We start from the raw sequence: 21,281 nt of genomic DNA on the forward strand, positions 1-21,281 counted from the left end.
CTGAACAATGTTTAAACATTTTTAAACCATCATTTAAAAATTGTTCCACATAAATATTCCACATAAAAATCTGGATTCCTGGGTTTTCTTTAAAAATAGGAATCTCTAGCAATACTGGGCCCACATTCCCACTGGGCAACAATCAGTGGAGCTTGGAGGCAGCAGCCTGTTTATTTTTTTGTATGTTTTTTCAGAGACAGGATCTCACTCTGTCACCCAGGCTGGAATGCAGTGGCACAACCACGGCTCACTTCAGCCATCACCTCCCGGGCTCAAGTAATCCTTCCACTTCAGTCTCCCACATAGCTGGGACTACAGGCGCATACTGCCAAGCCTGACTTATTTTAAAAAAATTTTTGGGCTGGGTTCAGTAGCTCACGGCTGTAATCCCAGAACATCGGGAAGCCAAGGTAGGTGGATCACCTGAGGCCAGGAGCTCAAGACCAACCTGGCCAACATGGCGAAACCCCATCTCTACTAAAAATACAAAAAAAAAAAAATTAGCTGGGTGTGGTGGTGGGTGCCTGTAATTTGATATACTCAGGAGGCTGTGGCAGGAGAATCACTTGAACCCGGGAGGCGGAGGCTCCAGTGAGCCGAAATCGCACCATTGCATTCTAGCCTGGGCAAGGGCGAAACTCAGTCTCAAAAAAAAAAAAAAAAATTTTTTTTGTAGAGATGAGGTTTCATCATATTGCCCAGACTGGTCTCAAACTCGAACTCCTGGCCTTAAATGATCCACCCATCACCGCTTCCCAAAGTGCTGGGATTATAGGTGTAAGCCACTGCACTCAGCCTGCACCTCCTTTAAATGTCCTACATACCTTCCCATATCTTTCAACTAGCCCCCTTCTCACATTTGTTACCTGCCCAGCCCCCTAGAGAACCAGAGTTTAAAAGCCCTGAGTACAAGGACATTTCAATGTCATTTCCGGGGTACAGGAAACCGTTTTCTAAAAGCAGGTTAATGAGGGTTTCAGTTACCTTTCATTTTCTCAGCTTGTTCATTCAGGCGGATTTCAAGATCTTGCTTCTGTTTCTCCAATTCTGAAATTTGCTGTTTAAAGTCTGGGATCATCTTTAGAGAAGAATTAGAAATATTAGAATATAAAATACTTTTATCTATGAACTTTAAAATCTTAGAAGCAAACTGAACTATCTTGGTGTTCAGCCTGCAGAACAGATAGCTGTGTAAAAGAGCTAGCCACGACATTAGACTGGATTAACATTTTTTTTTAACCTCAAAACCTATATAGTCTCAGGAAACACCAGTATGCTCAGAGGAAGCAGTTCTCACACAGCTACGACAGGGAGAGAAGGATGTGTACATGTATAGAAATCCTATGCTGAGTTGAGGGAGGAATTAGGTGAAGAAATGGCAGCCAGCGTCTTTGGTCCAAGCCCAGAGCCATCGTCTCCTCATCTAGGAACAGGAAAAGCCATCTCAAAGGGTCCCACTGCTACTTTTGAATTCAAGGACATGCACTGCTCTGTTAGTGGAGGTCTGGAATCACCCGGTAAGTTTCTCAATCCTTTGTCCCTATCTGTATATTTCTTTACATGTCCATCGCCTCCACCCCCAGTTAGGTTAAAACAGGGTTTTTTTTCCTTCCCCAAGTTTATAAACATGCTCATTTTAAAACTGAGTGGCTGAGATCCAGGCCTCTGAAGTCTAAATGAAGAATACAGACAGCCCCTGATTTACGATGGCTCAACTTACTATTTTTCGAGTTTGTGATGGTGTGAAAGTGATATGCATTTAGTAGAAACCATACTTCAAGTACCCATTCAACCATTCTGTGTTTCACTTTCAGTATAGTATTTGATAAGTTACATGAGACATTCAACACTTTATTATAAAAATAGGCTTTGTGTTAGATGATTTTGCCCAAGTACAGGCTAATGTAAGCATTCTGAGCACGTTTAAGGCAGGCTGGGCTAAGCTACGATGCTTGGTAGGTCAGGTGTATTATATGCATTTTCAACTTACAATACAATACTTCCAGCATACGATGGGTTTATTGGGACGTAGCCCCATGGTAAGCTGAGGAGCATCTGTACTTGTTTGAATGTGCAATTGGGTCTCACTGCAAATTCCTCATTAAAGTTTCATCCAAGGAATAAACAAAGATGTAAAGGTCCCCCACTACCGTTCCCTGTGTCCACCCCTGGTCCTCAACTGCTGCTACAGCCCCGAGATTTCCTAACACTCTCAGTTTAGGGAGAGGAGGGGGTAGTAAGGAAGTAGGGGAGCAGCAGCCAGTGAGGCGGGACAAGAATGCTGGGAGAGCGGGGCGTCCTGGAAGCCAAGAGAACAAGGCAGAGAGGGCAAGATTAGCATCGCCAGAGGCTGCTGAGACACTGAGTAAGATGAGGGTGCAAAGGAACCCTTAGTGCTCAGCTCTGTGCAGGCAGAGTCAGCCAGTGGTGGGGACACACGACAGAATGGGGTGGTGGGCAGTGAATGGGAGGTGTGCGGAGGAAGTATGCCTAGAGGGTCTTTGTAAGTCTGACTAAGACCCCAAAGAAATGGGTGATGGCCACAGCAGTGTGGGGTTAAGACAGAGATGGCTTTTTGAATGAGGAGATTCCTAAAGCATTTCTCCAGGCCAGTAGGCATGAGTTGGAAGAAAGAATGAGACAAATGCAGTGGCTAGGAATGCACGTCATGGAAGAGGAAGCCCTTGAAAAGGTGAGATTTGAAGGCCGGGCACGGTGGCTTATGCCACTTTGGGAGGCTGAGGCAGGCGGATCACGAGGTCAGGAGTTCGAGACTAGCCTTGCCCACATAGTGAAACCCTGTCTCTACTAAAAATGCAAAATTAGCTGACCGTGATGGTGGGCGCCTGTAATCCCAGCTACTCGGGAGGCTGAGGCAGGAGAATTGCTTGAACCTGGGAGGCGGAGGTTGCAGTGAGCTGAGATCATGCCATTGCACTCCAGCCTGGGCAACAGAGTGAGACTTCATCTCAAAAAAAAAAAAAAAAAAGGTGAGATTTCAGGCATGAGCAGGACTGGCCTTCTGACACACTCCTGTCTCAAGAGCTACCCTTCAATTTTGTGGTCACTTTCCAAGGGGTTAGGGCTTGATTTAAATATACAGGCTTTAAAACATACACACTTACGCGCACACACAGACAATCACAGCGCCTGCAGCCATCCTGTGGTGAACACACACACTCTTGTATCAGAGTGCTCTCTGGTCTGCAGTCATTTTATAGTTTAATCACCAGACCAAGTTATTTCACTTCTGGAAAAAGTAATTTATATCCACTCTTTTACTGCCAAGAAACTGAATTTGACGCCACTGACAAAGAACAACTCTAGTATGATGGCCACGACTGGGGCCCCTGGCTGAGACCATACCATGTTCTCTGATGTTAGCCTGGTAACTTCATGACGGATGCTTTCATTGATGTCATTTTCTTCTCTGAATAACTTCTGCAGGTGGTTGATTTCTTGACTGAGATGCACCACTTTGAAGTTCAAAGCTTCAATCTCCTTTTCATAGCAATCCTTCTGAGACTGGAAATGGCTCTCCAAAACACTATTAAAGGAGGGGTCAAGAAATAAACCACATGGCCTTTGTTCTGTTTTATGGACTGCTGGGAGGCAGTTATGAAGACCCACAACAAGAGCCGTGCACGAAGTACATCAAGTTTACTTATGCACTCACGGTTACAGGCTACAGAATCAGGAATGCCTAATTATAAAATCTTCTAGCTAGTTAGGAAGCATTATGTGGGGGTTAATATGTAGTTAACAATGAAGAAAATTTTAGAAGTTATTATATTTTTACACTCTTAATAGTTTAAAAAATACTGGCCAGACGCAGTGGCTCACACCTGTAATCCCAGGATTTTGGGAGGCCGAGGTGGGCGGATCACTTGAGGTCAGGAGTTTGAGACCAGCCTAGACAACATGGTGAAATCCCGTCTCTACTAAAAATACAAAAATTAGCCAGGTGTGGTAGCGCATGCCTGTAGTTCCAGCTACTTGGGAGGCTGAGGCACGCAAATCGCTTGAAACCTGGAGGTGGAGGTTGCGGTGAGCCAAGATCTTGCCACTGCACTCCAGCCTGGGTAACAGAGCGAGACTCCATCTCAGAAACAAAACAAAACAAAACATGTTCTGTATGATACTACAGTTGTGGATACGAGTCATTATACATTTGTCAAAACCTACAGAATGTACACCAAGAGTGAACTCTAATGTAAACTATAGACTTGAGGTGACAGTGGCGTGTCAGTGTTGGTTCACCAGTCATAGTAAACACATCACTGTGGTTTGGGAAGTTGACAGTGGGGGAGGTTGTGTGTGTGTGGTGGCAGGGATATATGGGAACTCTCTGTATTTCTGCTCAACTTTGATGTGAACCTAAAACTGCTGTGAAAAATAAAGTTTATTAATTTAAATAAATGCAGCACATGCCTTAAATTTAAATGTATCTACATATTTCTGGCAACATTAACTAACTTATTTGATAATCAGTTTTCACTGTATGGGTTATGGGGTTTTTTACTAGGCATTTTATCCCACAAAGAGATTGCTCTTCATGAATAAGCTACTTACTTACTTCTCAGAGAAATATTTCTAGTGGTTATTCAGTCATTCTACTATAAGGAATTTGTGTATCAATCTATGTAAGGTAAACTTTGGACTTTCCAATAGTCTATTTATTATCTCTGAAAAATAAAGAAGATCCCTGAGGAGAATTTCTAACCGTGTTGCTTTCTTTAGTCCTTCATAAGCAAACCAAAGTTCTCCATCCTCATTTAAATGTTCCAGATCTTCCACAGAGAGCCTGCAAAATAAGGAAGATAAGAAAATCTATCATCTCTGTCACGTTTTACATGTTTACATGTCTTAAAATGTTTGATAATGCAAAAATGATTACCTGCTTCTTACATCTTCAATGTCATAGCTTTCGAGAAGTTGTTTGGTGATCTCTGACATCTTTTCTGAAAGGGAAAGGCAGAGTTGTATATATTACATTTGTGGATGATTTATCTTTTCCCATTCCCTTTCCAGGGCCCAGTTTTCTAGCTTCACAGTCTCCAGCTAAATAACTCACCAGCTATCCAATCAACCAACTAACCAATCTTCCAGGTATTCAACCAACTAGCTATTCAACCTATCAACTAAGCAATCTACCATATGTCCAACCAAATTCATACCAAAGGACACGTTTCCTTAGCAGCGACACAGCTATGATAAATTCAGTCTGCACCCATGGACTAAGAGACTCATATTTTTATTACCTCTCATTTCCCGTTTTTGTGACTGCACATGTTTCTCCACATCTATCTTCTGTGCCTGAAGTAGTTCTATCTCTTTTTCGAACTCAGAGATTGTCTGAATCACAGCAATGACGGAATCAGGTAAAGAAAAAACAACGATTATGCTTTATATAAGACAAAGGGAACACAATTACAGCGTTGCGTGTCTATGCAAGACATCCTCACTGCAGTTTCTTTCTTAGCTAAAATCTTGTTAAACCATCACTGCCTACACAGCTTGGCCTTGAAGCATGCTTAACTACTCAAAATGCCAGATCTAATGGGTTGTATCAGTAGAATTAACTTCCCTGGGCCAGGCATGGTGGCTCACACCTGTAATCCCAGCACTTTGGGAGGCTGAGGCAGGTGGATCACCTGAGTTCAGGAGTTTGAGACCAGCCTGACCAACATGGTAAAATCCCATCTCTACTAAAAATACAAAAATTAGCCAGGCATGGTGGCAGACGCCTGTAATCCTAGCTACTTGGGAGGCTGAGGCAGGAGAATCGCTTGAACCCGGGAGGCAGAGGTTTTAGTGAGCTGAGACTGCACCATTGCACTCCAGCCTGGGGAACAAGAGCAAAACTCCACCTCGAAAAAAAAAAAAATTAACTTCCCTGTTACATAAAGAAAAAAAAATACCTACTATAAGCTTGGGGTGGGGTGGGACAGGGGGAAGACTGAGAAAGGTAAAATCACGGGCTAAAATTCTCTTTTAATGGATAATAAAATATTGAGTGCAAGGACATGGGCAAAGTTGCCACCTTCATAACTGTGGGTTTTGGCTTCAGCTCAGCTTAGATGTGGAGCAGTGGCAGAGACTGGTGAGTCCAGGAGGTCTGGGAGTTAGCTGGCTGTTGGGAAGGAGGTGGCCTGGGCAGCTCTGGTTGTGGGGAAGAGGCAGTATTCTGCCTTTATTCTCCCTTGTGAGCTCAGCTTGAATAAGAATCACAGGTCTGTGCTTTTGCTTTGTATCTGAGGGAGATATAAGGACTTTCAGGGACAGCAGAGGTGAATAAACTCTCCTTGATATTTTTTCAGTTACCCTGAGTATTTAAGGGCTCCAGCCCCTGTTTCTACAGAGAGTAAGCAGGAGAATCAAACTGATATGTGCTGAGCACTTTACCTAGAAGACCTAATCCTCCTAACAGGCCTATGAGGTAAGTAGAGTGATCTTTTCTCAATTAGCAAACAGCAGCTACATTTAACTGAAGGCTGACTGGCACGTTCAGGGTCACATGCCAGGTTTATGGGGGACTCAGGACTATCCAAATCCTGAAGGCCATGCTTTTCTTTGTAATGTTTCAGTAAATGTTCCAAGTCAGATTTGCATTTACTTAGGCTTTTAAGACTGACTATAACACATATAACTTGATGATCATGAGTTATTTTCTTTGAAAACCAGAGTAGGCTGGGCACGGTGGCTCACGCCTGTAATCTCAGCACTTTGGGAGGCTAGTGCGGGTGGATCACCTGAGGTCAGGACTTCAGGACCAGCCTGGCCAACATGGTGAAACCCTGTCTCTACTAAAAATACAAAAAAAAATTAGCCAGGTGTGGTGGCAGATGCCTGTAATCCCAGCTACCTGGGAGGCTGAGGCATGAGAATCGCTTGAACCTGGGAGGCAGGTTGCAGTGAGCCAAGATGGTGCCATTGCACTCCAGCCTGGGTGACAAGAGCAAAACTCTGTCTCAAAAAAAACCCAAAAAACAAAACACAAAAACCCAGAGTAATTTTTTTTTTTTTTTTTTTGTTGAGACGGAGTCTCACTCTGTCACCCAGGCTGGAGTTCAGTGGTGCAATCTCGGCTCACTGCAACCTCCACCTCCCAGGTTCAAGCGACCCTCCTGCCTCAGCCTCCCGAGTAGCTGGGACTACAGGTGTGTGCTACCTCGCCCGGCTAATTTTTTTTTTTTTTTCTAGTAGAGATGGGGTTTCACCGTGTTAACTAGGATGGTCTTGATCTCCTGACCTCGTGATCCGCCCACCTCAGTCTCCCAAAGTGCTGGGATTACAGGCCTGAGCCACCGTGCCCAGCCCCAAGTAATCTTAATGGATCACATTGGAGAGTGAACCAGTCTTAGCTACCAAAGAGGAAGTGAGTGACACCTACTGGTACCTCTCTGCAAGCGCAGTCTCACAAGTTCCTACATTTAAGATACAGACCTCAGACCTCAGCCAGATGACAGGACTCCCACAGACTGACTGACATCAGGCTCATGTGGCTGCTAAGAGTGAAGCAGTCACAGGAATGAAAGTGACCCTTCCTGATCATGTGGTCTGACCTCCTACTTTTAAACAATAGGGGACGGGGCCCAGAAAAGACAGACACTTCAGTTGTGGAATTCAGTGGCCACCCGGATGCAATTCCAAAAGCTCTTCTAAACCACGCATGGCTAGTTCATGACAATTACAGAGACTATTTCCATAATCCTACAAATACTCTACTAATATGTATTTCACATATTTAGTAGAAGCTTAAAAGCTTTCCAACTTAATGATGAAATGTCTTACATTTAAGAACGTAGGTACACTCAGGTTTAACTTTTCTGGTAGGGAAACAATTCACTTAAGCCTTGATTGTCCAAGCATGGATCATTACTTCATCCATTCATTCATTTTTCTCTAGAGCATTTTATTAAATTGCCCAGGAATATTTATATATTTTTAATGATAGATACAGGTAACAATTTTTTTTTTTTTTGAGACGGAGTCTCGGTCTGTCACCCAGGCTGGAGTGCAGTGGCGCGATCTCGGCTCACTGCAACCTCCGCCTCCCAGGTTCAAGCAATTCTCCTGCCTCAGCCTCCTGAGTAGCTGGGATTACAGGCACCTGCCACCACGCCCAGCCAATTTTTGTATTTTTAGTAGAGACAGGGTTTCACCATGTTGGTCAGGCTGGTCTAGAACCCCTGACCTCATGATCCACCTGCCTTGGCCTCCCAAAGTGCTGGGATTACAGGCCTGAGCCACCGTGCCCGGCAGGTAACAATATTTTTATATATCATTATGCAGTTTTAAAAATTCTATGTGATTTTTCCTTCTCAGCTTTATAAAAATTTACTTAAAAATTTCTACCATTGAAAATTTATAGCTTTATTGATGTTATAATTTATGAATATATTGTGGAATAATTCAAGCTGATTAACATGTTATCACCTCAAATACTTGTCATTTTTTGTGGTGAGAACATTTAAGATTTACTCATAGCAATTTTGAATGTACAATATGCTCTTATTAACTACATTCACCACACTGTGCATTGGATAATTGTTTTAGTAAATTTTCTAATAACAGTTTAAATGAAAGATTTTGATAATAAGGTAACTTAACTTTAATGCAGGTGTTTATAGATTTATAGTGATGGATTATATAATAAGGATTCACCTCAATTTACAGTCTAATTTGGGAGTATTCTCTACATCGACATATTTAAATAACTTTACATAAATGTAATTTCAAAAAAGTTAGAAAGTTGACTTTTAAAATATGGAATACAATGATTGCTAAATCAAAGGCAGCCTGGAGGTGCACAGTTGGAAGGACTGAAGGAATCAGGCTCCAGTTGCCTGTGGCCTTTACACAGATGCTTTTAGCTGTCTAATCTGTGGGAACTTGGAATTGCAATCAAATGACGTAACCAGAGGGCGGGGCTGAACGTGAGAGCCGCTCTACCTTGACCTGCTTGCTCAGGCGGGCCACTTCCGCCTTCAAGCCATCAGAAGTGACGTGCTCCCCCTCCACCAGGTGTTGGAGTTGCATCTTCTCATCCTTGAGAGCTTTAATTTCTTCTTTCAAAGACTGAATCTGCTTCTCATAGTCTTGTGTTTTCAGTTCAAAACTTTTTTCAAGAAGCCTACGCAGCAAAAGAAGAAAATAATTTAGAGCTGAGCATGGTGGCTGAAACCTGTAATCCCAGCACTTTGGGAGGCCAAGGCAGGCGGATCCCTTGAGCCCAGGAGTTCAAGACTAGCCTGGGCAACAAGAGAGACCCCGTCCCCACTAAAAATACAAAAATTAGTCAGGTGTGGTGGAGCACGCCTGTAGTCCCAGCTACCCAGGAGGCTGAGGTGGATGAATCGCTTGAGCCCAGGAGGTCCAGGCTGCAGTGAGCTGAGATCGTGCCACTGCACTTCAATCTGGGTGACAGAGTGAGACCCTCCCCACAACACCCCCTAAAAAAGAAGAAAATAATTTAGAATTGTCTCTACAGTCTTTACTTTGAATTAGAATACATCATTTTGAAAACAACAAGAGGAGACAAGTTAATTAGAACCTACTGTGACAGTTCCAGCAGGTAATGGCCTTATTTTTAGCAAACTGTTTCCTCTTCCCTTAGGTTAAAGACAACTTCTTACACCTCCTGATTTGAAAGGTGTGGCTTTACAGTGATCACGCACAGGGCACACTGGCTAGGGAGGCTGAACTTAAAAGACACACTGGGTTTTGGGGCACTGTATTCCCAACCCCCCGGGTTCCATGCAGTCCCCTGGAAGGGCCAGTTTCCTTCAGCGAATACCTTGGCGTGCTCTGCTAAGTCCTGGCTCCTTCCTCGTTCCAAGGATCCTGCTGGAGGTTTGTTTGATCCTAAACAATAGAGCTATCTGCTATGTCCAGGGGTCTAGCCCTTCAAAAATTCTAGAATAAATGGCAGCAAATCCACGTGCCCAAAAGTGCATGTAAATCCAACTGCTCTAGAAGGTTGCTCAATTAAAAATTTGATGATTAACTAAGAAAATAATTGAAAAGAGATACATAACCTAGACAAGCCCAACACAGCCCACAGGGGCCCTTGAAGCAGTGCCAGGAGCTCTATGAGTTTACTAAATGATTCTACCTGCTGAGCTGTCATTTCAGTTCCTTTTAAAACTTGCTTTTATAGCACAAAGGGAAAAACTCTGAGAAAGAGAGCCACATTCCTAATAAATTTGTTTGATTTCTTTTTTATAGATTTTTTTTTTTTTGAGATGGAGTTTTGCTCTTTTACCCAGGCTGGAGTGAACTTCAGTGGCATGATCTCAGCTCACTGCAACCTCCGCCCCCCGGGTTCAAGTGATTCTCCTGCCTCAGCCTCCCGAGTAGCTGGGATTATAAGGTGCCCAACACCACACCCAGCTAATGTTTGTATTTTTAGTAGAGATGGGGTTTTGCCATGTTGGCCAGACTGGTCTCAAACTCCTGACCTCAGGTGATCTGCCCGCCTTGGCCTCCCAAAGTGCTGGGATTACAGGTGTGAGCACTGCACATAACCTCTTTTTTCTACAGATATTAACGAACTTTGTTTCCAGGTTTTTTAAAAAAAAACTGCAGTGCTCCCAAGAGACCAGTAAAATGCCTTTGAAAAAGGAAAAGGCAGCCAGAAGTCTTCCTTTTTTTTTTTTTTTTTTGGAGACAGGGTCTCACTCTGTCGCCCAGGCAGGAGTGCGGTGGTGCAATCTCAGCTCATTGAAACCTCCGCCTCCCGGTTTCAAGTGATTCTCCTGCCTCAGCCTCCCAAGTAGCTGGGATTACAGGCATCTGCCACCACGCCCAGCCAATTTTTGTATTTTTAGTAGATACGGGGTTTCACCATGTTGGCCAGCCTGGTCTCAAACTCCTGACCTCAGGTGATCTGCCCACCTTGGCCTCCCAAAGTGCTGGGATTACAGGTGTGAGCCAGTACGCCTGGCCCAGAAGTCTTATGTAAAAAGAATCTTAGACCCACAGCCTGAGCTGGTCAGGAGGGTGCCCACAGACTGCAGGCCTCTTGGAGCCTCCTGAGAATTTTGACAGGGGCCAGGAATTCCCCCCTTGGCTGACCAGGGACTAAACCAAGCTACAGATGAGTGCTAATGAGGAGGCAGAACACGGGCCTAGAGAGGGTGAAGAGTTTTAATCCCTTCACTGGCCTGCCTCGCCCTGACCCAGTTAGGATTGCAAACAGCCCAAAATGACCTGGCCTCAGCCTGGCTCTCCAAGACCCCTGCTTGAAATGATCACTCCCAAGTGGTCCCTGCACGTGGACAGATGCCGAGAGCCGAGCTCTTCTCCTCACATTAAAAACTCATCGACAATTATATTTTTCTAGGTAAATGAGTTAATTAGACATATTTAAAAACTGATGGAGGATCATGAAACACTTCATATATTTGTTAACTCCTGGAGCGATTCTGTGATATTCCCTCCTCTCTTTAGAATCCTGCTTCCTCACCCAGACGCAGGCTGTCCTGCTCACTGCATGGGGAAGTTTTGTATCCTACCACCACAGGCAGCCCTGAGCTTCCTAGCCCCCAAAAGAGATGTGCCAAGCATGTTCTATCTCTTTCCGGGACCCTGCCATGTACCCCAACTTTGAGATCTAAAAACCTTTGACTCCTTAAGAGAAGGGAAGCCCAGATTGGAGTCCTTGGAGGTTAGCAAAGGGTTTGCTATTGAGATAGGAAAGGTGGGCTGGTACAGTACAAGGTCAGGCACCTGCCTTAATTTCTGTGAGGTCCATTACTTACCTTATCTTTTGGGATAAAAGACAAACTAACAAGGACAATAGGTGGGGAAGGAAAGGAGGGAGGTTTATTTCCTAGGCAAGAATCTTAATTCTTGGATTTGGTAGAAGTTGAAGGTGGTGGTAGTCTCTGAATTTTGCACTGTCTTAGCAATAAAGTAAAAAAAAAAGAAAAGAAAGAAAGAGAAAAGAAAGAAAAGGAGAGGAAGGAAAGGAAGGAAAGGAAGGGAAGGAAGGGAGGAAGGGAGGAAGGGAGGAAGGAAGGAAGGAAAAGAAAGAAAATGAAAGAAAGAAGAAAGAAAGAAGGAAGGAGAGAAGGAAGGAAGGAGAGAAGGAAGGAAGGAGAGAAGGAAGGAAGGAGAGAAGGAAGGAAGGAGAGAAGGAAGGAAGGAGAGAAAGAAAGAAGAGAAAGAAAGAAAGGAAAAGAAAAGAAAAGAAAAGAATTCCTGGTGGTCCACTGTACCCACCCAGCAGAAGCTTTATGGACTAGTCTAGAATGTGTTCAGTATCTGACAGTACACATTGTGGAACTTAGCTCTCATAAATCTCTAATCTCACTTCCTAAAAACAGTCACACCCCACTTTCTTGTATCTGTGTCTGCTATATGCAAACTGAGATGGAAAATATAAAACAGCACAGACAGAAGAAAGAAAGTAGCTTTAAGGCAAACTAGATTCCATACATTCTTTGCCGTTCTTCCTTTTGTACATCATCAAAGAGCTGCTTGGTGAGGTTGTCCATTTTTTCTGTAAAAAGAGAATGCTTTTTGAGATATGTCTGCCAAATCAATGCCTTGATTGTTTCATGTTATGTTTAAGAAAGTGAGAATGTCAGGACAATCATGTGATGTTTATTATTAACAGGACTTACAATGAGAGTATAGCTCATTTTTTATAAACAAGAAATAAAGATGAGGGGGTTTCAAAATAATAATTCTCACAAATTTGTCAGATTGGAATTATCAATAAATAGTTTCATTTATAGTACTTTTGTTGGTCTGTTATTTATTAAAGTAGATATTGGCTTTGAGACAATGAATATTATTAAAAATAAATAGAGGCCGGGCGCGGTGGCTCACGCCTGTAATCCCAGCACTTTGGGAGGCCGAGGCGGGCGGATCACGAGGTCAGGAGATCAAGACCATCCCGGCTAAAACGGTGAAACCCCGTCTCTACTAAAAATACAAAAAATTAGCCGGGCGTAGTGGCGGGCGCCTGTAGTCCCAGCTACTTGGGAGGCTGAGGCAGGAGAATGGCGTGAACCCGGGAGGTGGAGCTTGCAGTGAGCCGAGATCCCGCCACTGCACTCCAGCCTGGGCGACAGAGCGAGACTCCGTCTCAAAAAAAAAAAAAAAAAAATTAAAAAAAAAAAAAAATAAATAAATAAATAGAAACCCTTTGGGAAGAAAATGATCCATTTGTGACAAGGTTTCTCGGTCTTGGCACTATTGCTACTTTGGGCTGGATAATTCTTTGCTGTGGAGAGGGGCTGTCCCACGCATTGCAGGATTCTGAGCAGCAACCCTGGCTTCTACCCTCTAGAAGCCAGTAGCACCTCTGCTCCAGTTGTGACAACCCAAATTGTTTCCAGACATTGGCAAATGTCTGGGGGGTGAGGTGGCAGCAAAGCTGAGAACCACTCATCTGTGATAACCAAGAAAATAATCAAGTGTCTGTCTCTATCTGGGAAAGAGGAAGTACAAAAAAGGCAGCTGTTAACACTGAAATACAAGAGTCGCAAACACAAAGTCTGCAGGCCGAAGGGCAGGACGTTCCATGGCTATGACAACCCCACATTCCCAACACACCCATATGCCACAGGGGCCATCAAAATGGGAGAATGGCAGTGCAGCCCCTCAAATGGTGATGTCCCTATTTGCACTAAGCTGATATCTCATCCTTGAGCTCTACCTCACCTCTGAGCCCCACCCCAGAAGGAGTCCTCGGGGTGCACCGTCGATAGCAATTCTCCAAATTACTTTTTTTTTTTAGCCAACAGTTTAATAGTTTGTCTAACATAGTGCCAAATGTTTCTGAATCAAAATGACTGCTTCAGAACGTTGTAAGGCAGCCAGGAAATACTGGGGGAAATGCTCAAGCTTTAATTTAGAAGCCAACACGTTTTATATAACCTCAATTTTCAATTAACCAAAAGCATTGGCTTTAATTCTGGTGCTTACCATCTTAGGCCATTTGCAGATGCGCTAAAGAAGCTGCTCGAATGTGATTTACTTCTCAAGAGGAATGGGATTATGTCCATGTTAAGTTAGAATCTCAAAAAGGAGAAACAGCATTTGATAGCATCCCTGGGTCTTAGGTCACAAGCATAGGTAAAGGTTGGTGCTATTCACAAAACACTGTTTGCCATGTCGGGGGAGGCGCACAGGATAATCAGTTTATAAATATTACATTGAAAGTTTTCATGGACTTTTTGGAAGAGGATGTAAAATTATTCACCCAAACATGACATGGTCTCAGAAACATAATTTTCAGGTTATATTCCTGAGAATTTAAATGCCCTTGTGGGAAATTCTATTTGAAGTTAGGGGGGAAAAAAGCCAAAACAACCACCCAAGAGGAGTGTGCTGTAATAAAAAGGGTGGAGATGAGGAAACCCTTTCCTAACTCAGGTTCAAGGTTTACTCCCGGACCTCTGACATGCTCCTGTTCATCTCTGACATTCACATGGCTTCTGTGCCCACACCATCAGCCCTACAGAGACAGGGTGGAGGGCACGCAGCACCTAGAACAGGAGGGCATGGCCTGCTCCTCGTCAGCACCTGCACAGCCTTTCCTGCCCCAGTGCCCTGGTGTCAGGCTGTTTACTCCCTCTTCACCAACATTCGCTCCTCCCACTCTCCGCCCTGAACTCCCAGGGCTCTGCACTCCTCTGGGCCCCATCATATCCACCATTTGCTGGGCTAGAGGTGCGTGTAGAATCCCCAGGCCTGAACCCTCGTGTTCCTGCTGCCCCCACGTTGGAGCTCAAGGAAGAGATCCCTAGGCAAGATCACTGAGAGTGGTGATTTAAACTATCTGGTCAGGGATCACCAGGCTCTGTTGCCTGTTGCCTTTTCTGGGGTACAACAAGTATTGTCAAGTTGAACTTGAGCTGAAAAGCTCAAATGTGTAGAGCTAGGCTAAGCGTAGCTGTTCCACAGCCCTAAAGGAAGTGATACCTACTGGTTCCAGGGTCTGCCCTTCTTCATTCAGGGCAGGACAGTAGCAGAGGACATGGGTGTCACTTAGGCTAAGTAACTCCGACAGATCAGAATTTTTTCTGCAAATCTTTGGTGAGCACCAAACATGACTGCAGCATTACTCTGACTGTACATCAGGATTACCGTAAAGGTTTTCTAAAATTACGGATGTCTGAACCACCTCTGACACCACCACACACGAATGCGCACACACAGACACACACACACCCATTTCCTGATGCAAAAGCTCCGGGCTCATGGTCCGACCATCTGTACTTTGCAAAGGGCCCAGGAGGTTCTGAGGCACAGAGAGGAAATGCTGTGCTGTCTGACAAAAGACAGAAATAAAACAGACGAATCTGTAGGGCAAAGTTACCACGACTTAAATATGGCTATTCCTTGTGAGCAAAAATTGCCTCACTAAACTAAGTGTACACCAGAGACCCCTGGTTCTAAAACTGGTCAACCCCAGTATTGTTTACTGAGTGACTAAATCAGTGAATGTCTGGATTTGTGCCCCCCAAGCTTTACCTTTTAACTCTTCAGTCTTCTCTTGAAGCTTCAGCTGTATTTGTTCTTTCTGTGTTTCCAGTTCTGAATTATGCTTCTGAAGCTTTGCCAATTTCTAGCAGAGGGAAGGGGGAAAAACAAACTTTTTTGAAAACCTCACTTCAAGTTGTCACCATTGCCTTTCTTCACAAAAAGATGTATATTCTTAAATTAGTTTATTTTTTCTCAGCTCCTGTCTATAGATAACAGCGAGCACCAGCCACTGTAAGACGCTGCCATTTGTTTCACATGCAAGAGCTCAACGTGACTTCAAAGGTGACACTATTCCCGACCTGGCCAGCAATGACTGAAACAAGGAGAAAGGACACATTCAAGGGCTCCTCAATGTCAAGGACATACTTCTTCCTTTTGTCGAGCTTCTCAATAGCCAGGGGACTTTATATGTCGAATATGCTATGATTACACAGTTGATGGCGTAAAGGGGATTCACACTTTGCAACTGTTATGACTCAGGAAGGATGTGTGAGCACAGCAGGATTCCTATCATTTCAACTTCTCCTGGTAAAGTGTCTGCTGGGCTGGCAGCAGGCCCCGTGGTGCTGACTGATGGTGACTGGCAGCTGGCGATGCCCACGGCAGCAGTGTTGGTGCACCCAGCACCGGGTCATGGGGAGGGCAAAGGGATGTCTTCTGGGCCTCCAAGCCACCAACCCTGGGTGCTAGGACTTTGAAAATGCAGCAGAGGCTGGGCACGGTGGCTCACACCTGTAATCCCTGCATTTTGGGAGGCCAAGCGGGGGTGGATCACTGGAGGTCAGGAGTTCGAGACCAGCTTGGCCAACATGGTGAAACCCCACCTCTACCAAAAATACAAAAAATTAGCCGGGCGTCATGGCGCATGCCTGTAATCCCAGCTACTCGGGAGGCTGAGGAAGGAGAATTGCTTGAACCCGGGAGGTGGAGGTTGCAGTGAGCCGAGATTGCGCCACCGCACTCCAGCCCGGATGACAGAGCAAGACTCCGTCTAAAAAAACAAAAAAAAAACAAAATGCAGCAGAGTGGATGATAATAAAGATCACCTTCTTAGAACACACTAGCTCACACTTTTGCAGGGACTCACCATAGGCATTTGGCTACATTATTTCATCTGACCATTTTATTCTCACAACAATTCTGTCAATCTCTTTTTGTTATTCTCATTTTATATAGGAGGAAACTAAAATTCATTATGGTAGGCATTTGGCTAACGTATTTCATCTGATGATTTTATTCTCACAACAATTCTGTCAGTCCTTTTTTGTTATTCTCATTTTTTTATATGAGGAAACTAAAATTCAGAGAGGGTAAGGGACTTTAGCCAAGGCTGCCCAGCCAGACAAAGGCAAGATTTGAATCTAGGGCATCTGGTTTTTATGCTGACTGCTCTTTTCACTACACCAGAGATGAAAACCCTACCCTAGCTTTGCATCGCTGTTCAGGGGAAGACATTTCCAGGGCATAGACCTTAAGGACAAGTGATAGGAGACCAAGGTCATCCTGGAAGAAAGGGAGGCAGCCAGCCAGGGCTCTTTGGGCCTGTCATCATTTTGCAAAACTTGAAAGAAAGAGAAAACCTATGTTGCATTTCTCTCATTATTAACCTCCTCCCTTCCCCTAGACTCTAATCCTCTGATCTCGCCTTTCCTAAAAGGTAGGCTCCCTTTGGTAATGGAAGTTGATAGCAAAATCTGATTTGCTCTGCAGAAATCCACTTCATAGGAAAAGCTGGCAGCGCTCATCTTTTTCACAGAGAGTCCGCATATTTCCATCCCGTCTCACACGCCCGCAGCTGACCTCTTCCACAGCATCCCTGTATCTCTTCCCCTTCTCCTCGTAATTTCGCCTGTGAGTGGCTGCTTTTTCTAGTTCTGCTTCCAGCTTCTGAATCTTTTCCACATCCCCAGCTCGAAGAGCAGCCAGGCTAGTCAGCTTCTCCACCAGCCCATGGTTTTCTTTGTTCTAGAGAAAAGAAAATTCAGATGTTTAGAGGTTAATCCAAACAAAGATGCTGTTCCATTTAATTCTCATAGCCTTTGACACAGCATCCAAATTTGAGAGGTTGCTTTATGCTGATCACACTTATCACTGCACTGACATTTGTTAGCATCTTCTTTGTGGTGAAACAGTATGGCAGATCTTGCTGGGTACACATCTTCCCAAACTGGTGGCTATTTTAATGTGGGAAGTTTCCAATTCTGGCAAACCAGGACAACCCTAGTGTTATGAACTGTGCCCCCCGCCAAAATTCATTTGTTGAAGTCCTAACCCCTGAATTTAGGAATATCGCTGTTTTGAAGACAGGGTCTTTAGAGAGGGAATTAAGGTAAAACCAGCCCTCAGGGTGAGCCCTAGTCCAATAAGATTGGCGTCCTTAGAAGAAAAGGGGATTAAGACACAGACACAGGCATGGAGGGAAGATCATGTGAAGACAGAGGGAGGTGGCAGCCATCTACAAGCTAAGGAGAGAGGCCTCAGAAGAAACCAACCCTGCCAAAACCTTGATATGGGACCTCCAGCCTCCAAAACTGTAAGACACTAAATTTCTGTTGTTTAAGCCACCCAGTCAGTGATACTTTGCTATGACAGTCCTAGCAAACTAACACACCTAGGACAGAGCTCAGGCAGCGTTGGGACTCCCACCAGGCATTGCTCCTGGCCGGCTGCGGCTATTTTTAAGTGCTATTCTGCACAAGCTGTGTAGCATGCAGGCTTGTTACACAACAGCACAATGAGGGAAACCCCACCAGACACCAAGTCTATTTCTTCACCCACTCACCCTTTCATTCAGGACCCCTATGATATAGCTTAAGGCTAAGTTTAAAGCTCACCTTAGGAGAGCCTCAGAATTAGTGGAGACAGGCCTGGGAGTGAGTTTTACGGATCTAGACACTGTGTGTTCCATAGCCCTCCCCACCAACTGAGAGCATATGGATGTTTCTTTTCTTTTCTTTTCTTTTTTGCCTGTTTTTTGAGATGGAGTCTCGTTCTCTGTTGCCCAGGCTGGAGTGCAGTGGCGCGATCTCGGCTCACTGCAAGCTCCGCCTCCCAGGTTCATGCCATTCTCCTGCCTCAGCCTCCTGAGTAGCTGGGACTACAGGCGCCCGCCACCACGCCCGGCTAATTTTTTGTATTTTTAGTAGAGACGGGGTTTCACCATGTTAGCCAGGATGGTCTCGATCTCCTGACCTCGTGATCCACCCGCCTCAGCCTCCCAAAGTGCTGGGATTACAGGCGTGAGCCACCGCACCCAGCTGGATGTTTCTTTTCTTTTGTTTTTTTCTGAGATGGAGTTTTGCTCTTGTTGCCCAGGCTGGAGTGCAGTGGCGCCATCTTGGCCTACTGCAACCTCTGCCTCCCAGGTTCAAGCAATTCTCTTGCCTCAGCCTCCAGAGTAGCTGGGATTACAGGCATGCATCACCACGCCCGGCTAATTTTGTATTTTTAGTAGAGACGGGATTTCGCAATGTTGGTCACGCTGGTCTCGAAGTCCCAACCTCAGGTGATCCGCCCCCCATGGCCTCCCAAAGTGCTGGGATTACAGGTGTCAGCCACCACGCCCGGCCTTGGATGTTTCTTTTCATACCAGTGGGAATGGTATGGGGAATCTTCCCAAACTAGGCAGGGCTGCAGCTAGACCCTAAGGCACCTGTGGGAAAATTAGAAATGGCAGCTCCTCTGAGCTGATGTCATCCCAAGGCAGCACGCTTGGCATGCGGACAGCATCTTTGAGCAAATTAGGAGGTACCTTTGCCTCAAGGCAACACAACTTCACACAGGAACACCTGCCTTGGCAAGCGGAGCCAGGCTGGATCTCAGCCCCACCTGCCCTCTGAGGTAGGCACACTTGTGCAGTATACAACTATACAACCTACACCACCATAGCAACCCTTTACAGTGTACTTCTGTTTCCTAGCTCAGGTGGTCCACGTAAACTGAACCTCCTAACATGGCATAAATTTTAATAGCACAGCTAAGGAACTGCTCCAGAACAAACTACAGCCATGTAAGAAAAAGTAAATGTAAAAGATGCACTATGAGCACCTACCTGATCTTCCAACTTTTTCTGCAAACGCTGGACCCTGTAAGTAAGCTGAATATTAAGCACGAATCGTCGGATACTCTGGAATCTGCGTCTGGCCAGCCACGCCCGTGCGTATTTCTGTAGGATCACAGCCTTATGTTCCTCCAGCATCTTTAAAACAAGATTTTGTGAAACATAAACTGGATCCCAAGTGCTTCTCTAACCAACTCCTTCAACACTGGAAGATGCAACTACCACGGTGTAGAAAATGAGTTTCTTCTTGTCAACCTGCACAGCCGTATTACAGCTAGACTTTTCAAACAATAACCAAATCCTACCTGTAGCAGGTGTATATGAACAGACACTCTCATTCTAGAACCCCCTGTCTCCAGGAAGGTCTTTATGCAGAAAAACAGTCTTACTATTGTTGGTAAAAAATGGCATGAGAAACCCATGTCCCAAGAAATTGGTCTCTGCCATAACTTTCTTTTTTTCTTTTCTTTTTCTTTTTCTTTTTTTGGAGAGACTAGTTATTTCAAAAAGATACTTGTCATATTCAACATCAAAACAGTTGCACTAGGGCCAGGCCTATGGCTCACACCGTAATCCCAGTGCTTTGGGAGGCCCAGGAGGGAAGATCGCTTGAGGCCAGGAGTTCAAGACCAGCCTAGGCAACATAGCAATACCTCATCTCTACAAAAAAATTTTAAAAATTAGCCAGGTGTGGTGGCACGTACCTGTAGTCCTAGCTACTCAGGAGGCTGAGGCATGAGGATCCCTTTAGTCTAGGAGCTCAAGACCAGCCTTGGCAATATAGAGACTCATTCTCTACAAAAAAAGAAAAAGAAGAAAAAAGAAAAAAAAAAAAGAAAAATTAGCTGGGCATGGTGGCTCACGCCTGTGGTCCCAGCTACTCAGGAGGCCGAGATGGGAGGATTGCTTGAACCTGGGAGGCTGAGGCTGCAGTGAGCCATGGTTGTGCCACTGCACTCCAGCCTGGGCAACTGAGTGAGACCTTGTCTCAAAAATAAATAAATAAATAAAATGTTTTAAAAGGTGATTCCAGGAGTTAGCCAGAATGAAACCCCCCAAAATATACTGTTCAGGTTTTCAGCTTTAAAGTATCTTTGGACAACTTTACTTTTTCATCAGAAGTGACCGAATTAAGATTGTGAAATCTCTGAGACCAAACTTTTGTCCTATCTCAACCCCTTTCCCATCCACTCACAGGATGGATCAGGCACCCCTTATGTTGAAGTGAACACTTATTGCTCTCCTCCCTCCTTGAAAGAAAGAAAATTATTTTTTTGCCGTATGAAACTCATCTCATCACCCTTTTCTGAGTCTAAAGCTGCTGCCTCTAAAAGAGCCATCTCATTGTGCTTTGTATTAGTCAGTGCTGGAGAAATCTTGAATAGCTTATGTAGAAAACTTGTTCAATTTTATATTACTTTGAATTCGTTTCTTTGGAGTTGGACACCCTGGACATCCCATCTGGCTGTGAGAGCTCTCTACAGTCTGTGGGGTGGCAGTGGGCTAATCTTTTTTTTTTTTTTTTTTTTTTTTTTTGAGACGGAGTCTCACTCTGTCACCCAGGCTGGAGTGCAGTGGTGCAATCTTGGCTCACTGCAAGCTCCGCCTCCCGGGTTCATGCCATTCTCCTGCCTCAGCCTCCCGAGCAGCTGGGACTACAGGTGCCCGTCACCACACCCGGCTAATTTTTTGTATTTTTAGTAGAGACAGGGTTTCA

General features: G+C 44.7%; 1 protein-coding gene and 1 long non-coding RNA gene across 6 annotated transcripts in view, besides 1 other annotated feature; one reads left to right on the forward strand and one right to left on the reverse strand.

Moving 5' to 3' along the window:
- Positions 1-21,281, reverse strand: part of MYO5C (myosin VC) — a 103,483-nt gene that overhangs the window by 27,856 nt on the left and 54,346 nt on the right. For all 5 annotated transcript variants that reach the window (XM_047432845.1, XM_017022408.3, XM_011521781.4 and 2 more), the window contains 10 exons: positions 19,556-19,702; positions 17,305-17,469; positions 15,493-15,586; positions 12,445-12,508; positions 8,956-9,136; positions 5,262-5,355; positions 4,898-4,961; positions 4,724-4,804; positions 3,367-3,547; positions 985-1,078 (listed from right to left, as the gene is read on the reverse strand). In XM_047432845.1, the coding sequence (XP_047288801.1) occupies positions 985-1,078; positions 3,367-3,547; positions 4,724-4,804; positions 4,898-4,961; positions 5,262-5,355; positions 8,956-9,136; positions 12,445-12,508; positions 15,493-15,586; positions 17,305-17,469; positions 19,556-19,702 (1,165 nt within the window). The remainder of the gene's footprint in view (positions 1-984; positions 1,079-3,366; positions 3,548-4,723; positions 4,805-4,897; positions 4,962-5,261; positions 5,356-8,955; positions 9,137-12,444; positions 12,509-15,492; positions 15,587-17,304; positions 17,470-19,555; positions 19,703-21,281) is intronic.
- Positions 983-17,149, forward strand: LOC105370820 (uncharacterized). The gene is made up of 4 exons (XR_007064638.1): positions 983-1,517; positions 5,032-5,381; positions 6,321-6,439; positions 15,701-17,149. It is a non-coding gene; the product is annotated as an uncharacterized LOC105370820 (long non-coding RNA).
- Positions 8,845-9,019: a silencer, noted in NCBI's record as "fragment chr15:52521219-52521393 (GRCh37/hg19 assembly coordinates)". NCBI's record gives its function as "represses an EF-1alpha promoter that drives an FKBP-Casp9 reporter gene in an ReSE screen in HepG2 liver carcinoma cells {active_cell/tissue: HepG2}" and the evidence as "EXISTENCE:reporter gene assay evidence [ECO:0000049][PMID:32094911]".

The sequence above is a fragment of the Homo sapiens genome, chromosome 15, assembly GCF_000001405.40.
Source record: "Homo sapiens chromosome 15, GRCh38.p14 Primary Assembly".
Lineage (NCBI taxonomy): Eukaryota > Metazoa > Chordata > Mammalia > Primates > Hominidae > Homo > Homo sapiens.